Genomic DNA, 14,307 nt, shown 5'->3' with positions numbered 1-14,307 from the left:
AGTCAAGATCTGCTAAATGAGGCATCCTGTAGTAGCCACAAGCTGTGCTCAGGTGGAGGAGAACTAAATCACAGTGGTTTCAAGGAAACTTGCAACTCATGGTAGAGAGGAGAGTGTCAGGTCAGAGACTGAAAAATGGGTCTCAACAAACCTCTACAAAAAATAAAAATAAAAATGCTTATCTGGGCATGGTGGCATGCACCTGTAGTCTCAGCTACTCAGGAGGCTGAAGTGGAAAGACACCTCGAACCCAGGAGGTCAAGGCTGCAGTGAGCTTAAGACCACGCCACTGGACTCCAGCCCAGGCAACAGTGAGACCCTGTCCCCCCAAAAAAAAAAAAAATTCTGACAACGACTAATTACTGAAATACCTTAAAGCCCAAATTCCCAAGGCCAGCATGACTTTGACCACAGAAGCTGGTGAGAGGGGACAGCCAAGTCAAGTCTGGGATGAGCTGAGTCTGATACCGAGGAAGGTGCTAACAACTGGTGGCAGAAAAGGTGTCCCAGAAAACACTTTAATGAGAATTCAGCAGTATGGCTCATGTTTTAGCCTGAATTTGCTTAAAAGTTTGAGGTTTCTAATTACTTAAAATGTTCCTTGATTCAGAGGTCTACATTTTTATTTCAGTTTCTGAAACCAGGATGTACATTCACTGTATGCACTTAATGTAGTGGCATTTTGTTTTACTCAGAACAATTATTAAATCAAACGTCCTTCTTACAGCAATGATATCTTATAATCAAGGACAAACAACAGTTTCACTGCATCACTGTATCAACTCTGCACACAGAACAGAGCATCAGTAACCCTGCCTGACCACACACTATACTTGGTTTCTTGCTACTTCTCTGAAAGGTTGCATTATTCCTCCTCCCCATTCACTCACCAGCAACCCCAATACATGTGATGTTCTTTAGACCACATTTACAGTCACTGCTCACTTTTGAGGAAACATGAAAAACAAATGCAAAAAATACATACCACTTTCTTTCCAGAAGGTTCCCAGAGAGAAACATCACCCCATGATGTGTTATGAAAGTATTTCTCTCCTGGATCAAAGCCTTTAAGGTCCTTTTAAAAAGGGAGAAAAAAAAGAGATTATGTAAATTCAGAAGATAAAGAAATATTTAATTAGAACCTGATGAGATTATAAGGCCGGGCATAGTGGTTCATGCTTGTAATCCCAGCACTTTGGGAGGTTGAGGAGGGTGGATCACTTGAGGCCAGGAGGTCGAGACCAGCCTGGCCAACATGGCGAAACTCCATCTCTACCAAAAAATACAAAAATTAGCTGGGCATGGTGGCACATGCCTGTACTCCAAGCTACTCGGGAGGCTGAGGCAGGAGAATTGCTTGAACCCGGGAGGTGGAGGTTGCAGTGAGCTGCACTCAAGCCTGGGAGACAGAGCAGGACACCATCGAAAAAGAAAAGAAGAAAGAGAGAGAGAGAGACAGAAAGAGGGAGAGGGGAGAGGGGAGGGGAGAGGAGAGAGGGGAGGAAGAGGGGAGAGAGGAGAGAGTGAGAGAGAGAAAAAAAGAGAGAAAGAGAAAAAAGAAAGAGAAAGAGAAAGAGAAAAGAGAGGAAGGAAGGAAGGAAAAAGAATGAACCTGATGACATTACTTGGTACCTAAGAAATCTACAGGGGAAAAGAGAAATGAAAGTATAGTCATCCCTCGGTATCCATAGGGGACTGGTTCCAGAACCACCTGGAGGCACCAAATCCAAGACTGCTCAAGTCTCTTATGTTAAATCGTGCAGTTACTTGCATGTAACCTATGCACATCTTCCTACTTACCTTGTTTAGAGAACAGTGACAAGAAAACAAGTCTGTACATGTTCAGTACAGATGCAACCATGCATTTTCTCTCCCAAATATTTTCAACAGACAGTTGGTTTAATCAACAGATGCAGAACCCCTGGATACAGAGGACAGACTATAAAGCTCTCAGCAAGTTTTGATGGAGTACCCTTTAAGTATGAAATCTGAGGAAAAGGTTGAAATAATCCAAGTCAAAATTACAGATTCATAAGAAATAAACAGAGGAGACCTCCCAACAAATAACTATCTACATCCTCTATATGTACGCAAAGCCTAAACGTAAGGATTCTAAAACCCATGTAGCTTCATGAGTACATATAAAGAAACAAAAAAGTACTTCAAAGTAAAACAATCTTCATCTGGGTTGGTTCCAAGTCTTTGCTATTGTGAATAGTGCTGCAATAAACATACATGTGCATGTATCTTCATAGTAGCATGATTTATAACTCGTCATTTACATTAGGTATTTCTCCTAATGCTATCCCTCCCCCTGCCCCCCACCCCATGACAGGCCCGAGTGTGTGATGTTCCCTGCCCTGTGTCCAAGTGTTCTCACTGTTCAATTCCCATCTGTGAGTAAGAACATGCAGTGTTTGGTTTTCTGTCCTTGCAACAGTTTGCTCAGAATGATGGTTTCCAGCTTCATCCATGTCCCTGCAAAGGACATGAACTCATCCTTTTTTATGGCTGCATAGTATTGGTACATGTATACATATGCAACAAACCTGCACGTTGTGCACATGTACCCTAGAACTTAAAGTATAATTAAAAAAAAAAAAAAAAAGAATCTTCATCTTGAACACCGTCTTTTTAAACTATACCTTACCGCTATTGTTCAATCCATTCGTCTTAGGGAATGAAAGAAAAGTGTATTTTTTTCTTACTCTTTAAATACCTTTCAAAGCAGTTAAACAAAGATCTAGAACGTATAGAGGATTTTTTTCTCAGATGGAATCAATCATTTTTCACTCAAAAAGTTACACTTGCTAGAGTGAGAAAATTATGCAAAAGACCTATAGTGTAGACAAGGGTGTCAGGAAAACCTCACAATCAGCTGAAAGAGGCAGTAGTGTGAGAAACACACTGCGTATTGGTAACTCTCAGGGGCAGGTGAACATGGAGAGAAGAGGAGCACGCAGGTCCCAGAAAGGGGTCCAGAGGCCAGAAATGCATGAGCCGAGACCTCCCACAGCAGCAGCATCCTCAGAGCAGGGGTTCAACGGCTGACTTCCAAAGCCTGCTGGCAGCAGGTAGGGAAGGGAGGAAACGTAGAAGGAAGGCCTCCACCTTACGTGCAGGTAAAATGGCCTAAGACAAAACAATTACAAGCTCCACAGAACAGTAATCTACCTCATCCTTTCGCAGTCATCACTAATCCAACCCTCAAATATTTCCTTTTGGACTCTGGGAACCCAACCATGGATAAGACAGATGGGATCCCAACCTCACAGTTTCACAACTGAGAAACACAGATATTTTGTAAAATTGTTTTTCACAAGAAACTACTGTCTTTCATGGGTGGTAGGTGCTATGAATAATGACTGTGAAGTGGTAAAGGAGTATAACGCAGAGAGCTCCAACTGTGTCTGCCTGACCTGACGTGGGCGGGGGGGCGGGGGCTGGGGTGGCTAACATGACAGGGAGGGAACAGGAGAGAGAGAAACAACAAGGCCTGGGGCAGAATCCTGATGAAGTGCAGGGCGGCAGAGGGTTTTAAATAAAACTGTATCAAAAAGTGAAAATCAGACACTGAGAAGGTGTACAAGAAAAACATTTTCCATTTCTAAAATTGTAAAGTCCATGTGGCCCAAGATTACTTTTCTTCTTTTTCTCTGAGTTGAAAGAAGTAAAAATCTACTCCTGTTTTGCTCTCAGCTACTTCACAAAGCGTGTAGAAAGTGTAGTCATACAAAACACTTTCTTTACCTGTGCAGCATAGCTCACTTATTTAAAAGTGCAGACTGTATTAAGAAGTGAGCATAAAGACGTATCAAGTCCATAATCGCGTGATATGGACAGTCCTGTGAGGTAACAGTGCATTCAGAATTAGCTCACGAAGCCAACTTCAGAACCTACAGAAAAGTATAAGTACAAATGCTCAAAGACAAATGAGACAAATGCTCAAAGAATGGGCCCATCCTCACAGGCCCTTTAGGGGAGGGGTCATGACAAAAGCACCAGGAGCACCTGGATGTTGTAACATTTGAGCATCAGAAAGACAAATGGCCGTAGAGACCCAAACACACGAAGTCACAGGAGATCCACAGAAGTGCTCAAGAAAGTCAGAAAAAAAGGCATTTCACGAATCACCATTGGGAAAGGTTAACTAACTACTCACTTTGAAAAGTCACAGCTCAAAGGAAAGGATAAAACTATCCTGCCTTTCCCAGAGGCACTATATTTCAGAGAAACCAAACAGTCCCAACTGCTGAGTAAAACAAGAGTTTACAGAAGAATGTCTGCTAACAATCTACATGTGACAGAATCAGAAACACCTCATTCACAGCAAGCCCCCAAATAAAACTACCATCTAGGACCAGGATCATCAACAGGTGTTAAATGCATTGCATTCCAGTCCACAGAAAGAACATAATGCACACAAAGACCAGACTGCCATCTATTGTATTGAAGCAACAAAATATGACTGGGGTCCCTGAAGTGACACAAGAAGCATAGAACATCATATATATTCTAGCCCAAAATGTTTAACTTGAATCAACTGGGCCTTTCAGTAGAACTTCTCATTTAAAAGAAGCTCAGGGGACAGGGGACTAAGCTGAAACAACACTATAAGAAAGTACCAGACACATCTGGAAGGAGGGGCATCTCTGCAGGACAAGAGGCTGGTCTGGCCAACAGTCAGGGAAAGCACTGCAAACCCAACCACTAGATGTAACAGGGTCCACAACAAATCCTGGCTTACATAAACCGAGTGTAAAAAATGTTCTGGGGGTCGGGTGTGGTGGCTCACACTTGTAATCCCAGCACTTTGGGAGGCTGAGGTGGCTGGATCATCTGAGGTCTGGAGTTTGAGACCAGCCTGGCCACATGGTGAAACCCCATCTCTACTAAAAATACAAAAACTAGCTGGGCGTGGTGGCGGGTGCTCGTAATCCCAGCTACATGGGAGGCTGAGGCAGGAGAATTGCTTGAACCAGGGAGGCAGAGCTTGCAGTGAGCCGAGATCTCACCACTGCACTGCAGCCTGGAAGACAGAGCGAGACCCCATCTCAAAAAAAAAAAAAAAACAAAAAAAAAGTTCTGGGTAAAACTGAAGAAATCTGAGTATGGACTGCATATTAAATAAGGTGAATATGTAATACATGACAAGACAGAACAGAGAAAAGTGAAAAAAGCAAGTGGTAAAATAGCTAATCAATACAATCTCATGGTAAGAACAATAAACACACAGAAACAGCTAACAATACGATGTTAATGGTGGCAACTTCTGAATGACAGAAATGTGGCATTTTAAATTTCATTTTCTAATTAGAAACGGTTACCTGCATTTTCAAACATTCATAGATTACAGTATTATTTTTATAACAATGATTACTTTAAAAAAAAAGCTACAGAAAAATAGTTAATACAATTACCTTTAACTCTACGCTAGTATGTAGCTTACCAAGTCAATTCAGAACTAACAAGAAAAAGACAAGTTATTACAAATATTTCTTTATTTTTATTTATTTATTTCTTTTTTTGAGACGGGGTCTTGCTCTGTCGCCCAGGCTGGAGTGCAGTGGTGCAATCTCGGCTCACTGCCGCCTCCACCTCCCGTGTTCAACCAATTCTCCTGCCTAAGCCTCCCCACTAGCTGGGACTACAGGCACATGCCACCACGTCGGGCTAATTTTTGTATTTTTAGTAGAGACGGGGTTTCACCATGTTGGCCAGGCTGGTCTCAATCTCCTGACCTCGTGATCCATCCACCTCGGCCTCCCAAAGTGCTGGGGTTACAGGTATGAGCCACCGCACCTGGCCAAGTTATTACAAAGATTTCTACTGAAAATTAGGTTATTTTCAGAACTATCTTAAAAGATAAAGTATACAACACACAGGTCCTTTATTCTGATTCCAACAAAGAGCAAACATATCTGAAACAAACAGAAATAAGCATAAACACTAGGAAACACAAAGGAACTGTCAGTACATCTTCAAAACCAGCACACACAAGAATCTAAGCCCAATTAAAAGATGCTGCTAGAGCAGCAGAAATGAATAAAGAAGGCTGGAATTAACAAGAGCCCCACAGTAATTATGAAGTCATTATCACCTGATAGAAAGCAAGAATTCACTATTTCAAAATAGACAAAAGAAGTAAGCTACTATTAAAAAGGGGCATCCTGCCATATTGACCTTGTGATAAATTTGCACAGGGTCTCCTGAAGACTTTTTCTGAGCACTGAGGCTCTCATGTGTGAGAAAACCAGTGGGACTTTTCTACTGGCTCACTAGTGGGAACTAGTGAAAGGAGAAGGTAAAACAACTATCAAAATGCCAGAGTCCACCGGGAGAGGGGAATGACCCCTTAATACAGTGACATAAGTCAAGCCTTCACAGCAAGGTCTGTCTCCACAGTCCCAGGCTCTCCAGACCCACTCTAGCAATGCTTAAAAATTCCAAGTGTCTTAAACATGTTCTAGAACAAAGCCCAAATATATTTAAAGGAAACAACAAACTCTAGCACCCATAAACACAATGTCCAGTGTGTAGTCAAAAACTGCCAGTCAAAAAACAAAAAACAAAAACTTCCAGTCATACAAAGCAGCAGAAAAATATGACCCCAAACCAGGAGAACAACATGAACGCAACGAGAGAAGTGAAAGAAAGTGAAAGATGGATGGTAAATTGCACTTCCATGAATGAAAAATGCACTAACATGAAAAATATACTGCATGGGATTAAGAGCAGATTAGATGCTGCCGAAGAAAAGACTGGTAAATCTGAAGATAAAGCAAGAGAAATACACAAAATGAAAGAGGGAATGGTTAAAAAAAAAAAAAAAAAAAAACTGAAAAAACCCCAACAACGGCATCAATGAGCTATGGGACAGTATCAAGGAGCCTAATATACAGGAGTCCCCCCTTATCTGCAAAGGACATGTTCCAAGACCCCAGTGGATGCTGACACTGTGGACAGTGCCAAACGCTACATATACTACGTTTTTTCCTATACAGACATACCTACAATAAAATACAACTTATAAATTAGATTTGGTACAGGAAGTTGGTACACGAAGATATTAACAACAATAATAAACTAGAACAATTGTAACAATATACAGTAATAAAAGTTTTGTGAATGTGGTCTCTCAAAGTATCTTACATCCTGTGCTCACCCTTCTTGTGGTGGCATGCGATGACACGATGCCTGTGTGGCGCCTCACGTGACAAGATGAAGACAACTCAGAATGCCATGGAACTTAAAACAGATGAATTGTTTATTTCTGGAATTTTCCATATAATATTTTCAAACCGTGGTTGACTGTGGAGAGCAAAACTGAGGATACGGGGGAACTACTGTGTGTGTAATTGAGTATCAGGGACAAACGGGTGAGGGGAAGAAAAACTAGTTGAAGAAATGATGCCACAAAATTTTCCAAATCTGATGAGAACTATAAACCCACAAAATCAAGAAGCTCACCAGACTCTAAGCAAAAGACACACAAAGAAAACCAAACCAAGGCACATTATAGTCAAAGTATTAAAAATACAGAGAGGAACAAAAATGACAGAAAACATATTGTTGGAAAAAATGCCAGCCAGAAGACAAGAGTGAAATCTTTAAAATATAAAAAGGGGAAAAAAATAGCATTCCACACCTAGCAAAAATCTCTTCCTTCCTAAAAGACAACTTTTTTTTAGAGAGAAAGTATAGTGAGTTAATTAAGCACATCAGCACTACAAAATATGAAGTCCTTCAGGAGGCAGAGGAAATGACTCGAGATGGAAATACACATCTACGCAAAGGGATGAAGACTATCATCAATGACATGTAGATCAATATAATTTTTTTCTTTTTTACAGTTTAAAATAAAAGTAACAACATATTGTAAGATTTCTAACATGTGGAAGAAAAAATGTATAACAACAACAGAACAAAGGCTGGAAGAAGAAATTAAAGCATACTACTCTAAGGTTCTTATACTGTAGAAGAAGTAGTAGTATATTAAGAAAGTCAGAGAAAAAGATGTATAGCTAATAAGCCAGTAATAGAGATAAAATGGAATAAAAATATTCAATCCAAAAGAGAGCAGAAAAAGAGTGAAAAATAAAGAACAGATGAGACAAGTAAAAAAACAAACACCGAGATGGGAGATTTAAAACCAACCATATCAATAATCACATTAAATAAAAAGGACTGGCAAACTTCTTCTGTAAAGGACAGGTTAATAAACAGTTTAGGCTTTGCTGCCTGTAGAGTCTCTCATACAACTACTCAATCCTGCCACACCGTGCACAAAAGCAGCCTTGGACGATATATTAAACTAATGGGAATAGCTATTTCAATAAACTTCTTTTAATTAAAAAAATTTTTTTTGAGACAGTGTCTCACTTTGTCACCCAAGCTGGAGTGCAGTGGTGTAATCATGGCTCATTGCAGCCTTGAACTCCTGGGCTCAAGGGATCCTCCCACCTCAGCCTCCCGAGTACCTGACACTACCAGCGCACACCACCACACCTGGCTATTTTTTTTTATTTTTTTTTTGAGACGGAGTCTCACTCTGTCGCCCAGGCTGGAGTGCAGTGGCACATTCTAGGCTCACTGCAAGCTCCACCTCCCAGGTTCACGCCATTCTCCTGCCTCAGCCACCTGAGTAGCTGGGACTACAGGCACCCGCCACCAAGCCTGGCTAATTTTTTGTATTTTTAGTAGAGATGGGGTTGCACCATGTTAGCCAGAATGGTCTCGATCTCCTGACCTCGTGATCCGCCCACCTCGGCCTCCCAAAGTGCTGGGATTACAGGCGTGAGCCACCGCCCCCGGCCTATTTATTATTTTAAAGACAGAGTCTTGCTATGTTGTCCCGGCTGGTCTAAAACTCCTGGCCTCAAGCAATACTCCCACTTCAGCCTCCCAAAGTGCTGGGATTACCATTGCACCTGGCGCCAATAAACTGTATTTACAATAACAGCAAGCCCAACTTGACCCATGGGCTATAGTTTGCCAACCCCTGGGTCCAGATACTCAAAAGGCATAGGCTAACACGTTGGGTAACAAAGCAAGACCAATTACATGCTGCCTATTAAAACTTTAAATATAAAGTCATTATGGATTAAAGGTTTAAAAATAGAAAAATACATGCCATGTATGATACTCTGAAATATACATTTGGTCTTCATCCCTATTTCCTGACATACAACTCCTAAAACCCTTGGAATCTCCCAAGTCAGATTAACTTGTAGTTGGGCCTATATATTATGAAATTTTTGAAAATTCAAGCAATATAGAAGTTTTTATAGAAAAATTAGAAAATAGACACAGAAACAAGAAAATAAGACTCACGCATAAACCATTACCCTGAAATATCTAGAATTAAGAGTTATGTTAATTTTTGTCTTTTTGTGTGCTAATGAGATGACTGGTGGTTGGCAGCCCCTAGGTAGCTTCAGGATGGGGGCTTATCACCAAGGCAAGTTTAGAGGGTGGGGGACTTTCAGCTAACTTCCAGGGCAGGGAGAAGGGCTGAAGGTTAAGATGATTTAATCAATCATGCCTGCATAAGGAAGCCACCACAAAAACCCAACAGGATTGGGTTTGGTGGTCTTCTGGATAGATGGACTCATGGAGGTTCCTGGAGGGTTGAGTACCCGCGGAGGGCCTGGAAGCTCTAGTCCCTTCCCCTATACCTTGCCCTATGTATCTCTTTCACTGTGATTCTTTATAACATCCTTTCTTTGTCATAAACCAGTAAATATAAGTAAGTATTTCCTTGAGTTTGGTAAGCCACTCTGACAAAGTAATCAAATCCAAGGAGGGAGTTGTGGGAACACCAGTTTATAGCCAGTCAGTCAGAAACACAGGTAAAACAACCTGGGGCTAGAGCTGCCATAAAGAATGATTCATTCCATCTCAGGAAAAATGAGACAGAGAGAGAGACAGATTATTAGGAACAACTGTATGTGAACAAACAAAATTAACTTGATGTAATGGACAAATTCCTAGAAAGACACTAATTACCTAAAACTGATTCATACCCATGAAGAAATAGAAAAATTTCAAATTTCTGTAACAAGAGACTGAATTCATCAAAAACTTCCTAACAGAGAAAAGTACAGGTACAGGTGGCTTCACTGGTGAATCCTAAAAAATACTTAAAAGGCTGAGCGTGCTGGCTCATGCCTGTAATCCCAGCTCTTTGGGACACCGAGGTGGGTAAATCATTTGAGGTCAGGAGTCTGAGACCAGCCTGGCCAACATGGTGAAACCCCACCTCTACTAAAAATACAAAAATTAGCTGGGCATGGTGATGCACGCCTGTAATCCCAGCTACTCGGGAGGCTGAGGCAGGAGAATGGCTTGAACCTGGGAGGTGGAGGTTGCAGTGAGCTGAGATCATGCCACTGCACTCCAGCCTGGGCGACAGAGCGAGACTCTGTCTCCAAAAAAAGAAAAAAAAAATTAAAGAAAGAACTAACATCAATTTTTCTCAAACTCGCCACAAAAAAATAGAAGAGGAGGGGCCAGGCACAGTGGCTCAGGCCTGTAATCCCAGCACTTTGGGAGGCCGAGGCGGGCAGATCACCTGAGGTCGGGAGTTCGAGACCAGCCTGACCAACAAGGAAAAACCCGTCTCTACTAAAAATAGAAAAATTAGCTGGGTGTGGTGGCGCATGCCTGAATCTCAGCTACTCGGGAGGCTGAGGCAGGATAATCGCTTGGCCTGTGAGGCGGAGGTTGCGGTGAGCCAAGATTGCGCCACTGCACTCCAGCCTGGGCAATAAGAACGCAACTCCCTCTCAAAAAACAAAAAACAAAAAACAAAAAAAAAGAGGAGGGAACAACTTCTAACTCATTCTTGAAGACAGCATTTCCCTGATACGAGGGCCAAATAAAAACATTACAAGAAAATTAAAAACCAATATTCCTTATGAACACAGATGAAAAATCCTTAACAACATACTAGCAAACCAAATTCAACAGTGTATTAAAACAATTATACACCACGACCAAGTGAGTGCATTCCATCCCAAGAATGCAAAGGGGCTTCAACATAAGAAAATATATCAATGTAATTCACCACATTAGTAGAATGAAGCACGGGGGAAAAAAATCACATGGTTATCACAATTGGCACAAAGAAGGGATCTGATAAAATCCAACAGGTTTTCATGATTAAAAAAAAAATCACTCAGAAAACTAGGAATTGAAGGGACTCTCCTCAACAAGATAAAGGGCATTTCTGAGAAACCCATTAACATCATATTCAACGGTAAAAGACCAAAAACTCTCCTCCTAATATCAGGAACAAGACAAGGACCCCCACTTTCATTGCTGCCACAAGATATTATACTGGACGTTCTAAACAGAACAATGAGGCAAAAAATAAAAGGCATCGTAACTGAAAAATAGAAGTAAAGCCTTATTTGCAGAATGCATGATTCTACATATAGAAAATCCCAAAGAATCTACAAGAAACTACCAGAGCTAATGACAAATTCAGCAAAGTTGCATGATTCAAGATCAATACACAAAAATCAGTTGTTTCTATATATCTGCACTGAAAAATCTGAACAGGAAATTATGAACACAATTCCACTTATAACAAAATACCTATGAGTTTATTGTATGAATTTAACCAAAGAAGTGAAAGCCTTACACAATGAAACTACAAAGCACTGTCGAAAGAAATTAAAGGCCTAAAGAAACAGAGTATGTTCACAAATAGGAAGACAATGTTGTTAAGATGTCAATAATCCCCAAAGTAATGTCAAACACAATCCTCATCAAAGTTCTAAGAGTCTTCTTTGCAGAAATGGAAAAGTCTATCCTCATATTCATATGAAATTACAAGGGGCCCCAAAAAGCCAGAACAATACTGAAATAAAGAATACAGTTGGAAGACTCACACTTCCCAATTTCAAAACTTACTATAAAACTTACCATTTGTTTAAATCAAAACAGTATAGGTGCCGGGCACAGTGGCTCACATCTGTAATCCCAGCACTTCGGGAGGCTGAGGTGGGTGGATCACTTGAGGTTGGGAGTTCAAGATCAGCCTGGCCAACATCACAAAACCCCGTCTCTACTAAAAATACAAAAATTAGCCAGACATGGTGGTAGGCACCTGTAATCTCAGCTACTCGAGAGGCTGAGGCAAGAGAATCACTTCTTGAACCCAGGAGGCAGAGGTTGCAGTGAGCCAAGATCATGTCACTGCACTCCAACCGGGGTGACAGAGCAAGACTCAGTCTCAAAAAAAAAAACCAGTATAGGATTGTTATAAGGATAGACATATAGATCAATGGAATAGAACTGAGAGTACAGAAATAAACCCATATATCCAGGACCAACTGATTTTCAATAAGGGTGCCAAGTCCATTCAATAGGGAACAAACAGTCTCTAGAAGAAACGGTGCTGAAACGACTGAATTTCTATCTACATGTAAGAGAATGAAACCGGACTCCTACTTATACAATATATAAGAATTAACTCAAAATAGATCAGCGACTTAACATGAGAACTACAACCATAAAACTCTTAGGAAAAACATAGGAGAAAATTTTCATGACCTTGGACTTGGCAATGGATTCTTAGATATGAAATAAAAAACACCAACAACAATAGAAAAAATAGATAAATTGGACTTCATCAAAATTAACAACTTTTGTGCAACAAGATGTTATCAAGAAAGTAAAGACAACCTGTAGAAGAAAATATATGCAAATCACGTATTTGATAACGGTTTAATACCCAGAATAAGGAAATTACTGTATTTCAACAACATAAAGACAAACAACCCAATTAAAAAACAGGCAAAGAACCTGCCAACAGGCATTTTTCCAAAGAAGATATACAAATGGCTTATAAGCACATGAAAAGATGCTGAAACTCATTTGTCTACGGAAATGCAAATCAAAACCACCATGAGATTCCACTTTACACTATTAGGATGGCAAGTGAGGGAGGGAGAAAGGAAAAGGAAGAGGGACAGAGGGAAGGAAGCAGAGAGGGAGAAAGGAAGGGAAGGGAGGAAGGAGAAAAAAGTAAGTGTTGGTAATGATGTGAACAGATTTAATTCTTGTACACTTCTGGTAGGAATGTAAAATGGTGCACTTTCACTGTGAAAAGTTTGGCAGTTCTTTGAAAAAGTAAACAGAATAACTATATGACCCAAAAATTCCACTCCTAGGTATATACACCCAAAATAACTGAAAACAGGGACTCAAACAAATACTTGTGCACCAATGTTCATTGCAGCATAATTCACAAGAGACAAAAGGTGAAATCAATCCAAGTGTCCACCAACAGATCGAGACTATCCTGGCCAACATGGTGAAACCCCATCTCTACTAAAAATACAAAAATTAGTTGGACTTGGTGGTACGTGCCTGTAATCCCAGCTACTCATGAGGCGGAGGCAGGAGAATCACTTGAACCAGGGAGTCGGAGGTTGCAGTGAGTCAGAGATCGCAGCACTGCACTCCAGCCTGGTGACAGAGTGATTCCATCTCAAAAAAAAATAAATGAATAAAAGAAAATACCAGTCATGGGCCAGGTGTAGTGGCTGACACATATAATCCCACCACTCTGGGAGGCCAAGGTAAGTGGATCGCTTGAGCCCAGGAGTTCAAGACCAGCCTGAGCAACATGGTGAAACCTCGACTCAATAAAAAAATACAAAAAAAAATTACCCAGGTGTGGTGGTATGCACCTATAGTGCCAGCTACTCAGAAAGCTGAGTTAGGAGGATCATCTGAGCCCAGGAAATCAAGGCTGCAGGGAGCCATGATTGTACCACTGCACTCCAGCCTGGGTAAAAGAGCGAGACCCTGTCTCAAAAAAAAAAAAAAAGAAAAGAATATACCAGTCAGGGCCAGCTCCATGGGCATGCAACTAGCACAGCTGCACAAAGCCTGTGCTCAAGGGATTTAATGCTCAGTGGTAACCATCGTGAATTCTTAACAATCTATCTTTGAATTTGTGTTTTATATTATAAAAGTGAACTCTGATGGGACATGGAGCATATGCCAAGGGCTCGGAGCCTCAGCTCACACATGGTCTGCCTCCTTTACCCTTTCCAGGGCCAGGTCTGATACTGCTCTCTGCCTTGCCCTCACCCCAAAGCCCACTTGGCCTCAGCCTTCCTCCCAGTCCCCACCCCTATAACCACTCTCTCACTCACATCTTCCACCTGGGACTGTACCAAGTTGTCAAGAGGTCCACATTCCACTGTAGTCCCAAGTTGGGGGCTGGCACAGATTGGGGGTTGGGGGGGAGGTGGTTGAATGCACTTGCTGTGGCATCTCAGTGTGCAG

At 41.2% G+C, this 14,307-nt stretch overlaps 1 protein-coding gene across 5 annotated transcripts in view; it reads right to left on the bottom strand.

Annotated features, from left to right (window-relative positions):
- ADNP2 (ADNP homeobox 2) overlaps positions 1-14,307 on the bottom strand; it is a 31,085-nt gene that overhangs the window by 6,169 nt on the left and 10,609 nt on the right. For 4 of the 5 annotated variants that reach the window (NM_014913.4, XM_011525883.3, XM_047437350.1 and 1 more), the window contains one exon: positions 986-1,075. In NM_014913.4, coding sequence (NP_055728.1) covers positions 986-1,075 — 90 coding nt within the window. Of the gene's footprint in view, positions 1-985; positions 1,076-1,800; positions 1,989-14,307 lie in introns of all 5 variants that reach the window. The other variant, XM_047437351.1, reaches the window with a different exon arrangement.

This window comes from Homo sapiens, chromosome 18 (genome assembly GCF_000001405.40).
Source record: "Homo sapiens chromosome 18, GRCh38.p14 Primary Assembly".
In the NCBI taxonomy this organism is placed as follows: Eukaryota; Metazoa; Chordata; class Mammalia; order Primates; family Hominidae; genus Homo; species Homo sapiens.
Note: the sequence above shows the minus strand (reverse complement) of the source record. Positions and strands in the feature narration are given on the sequence as shown.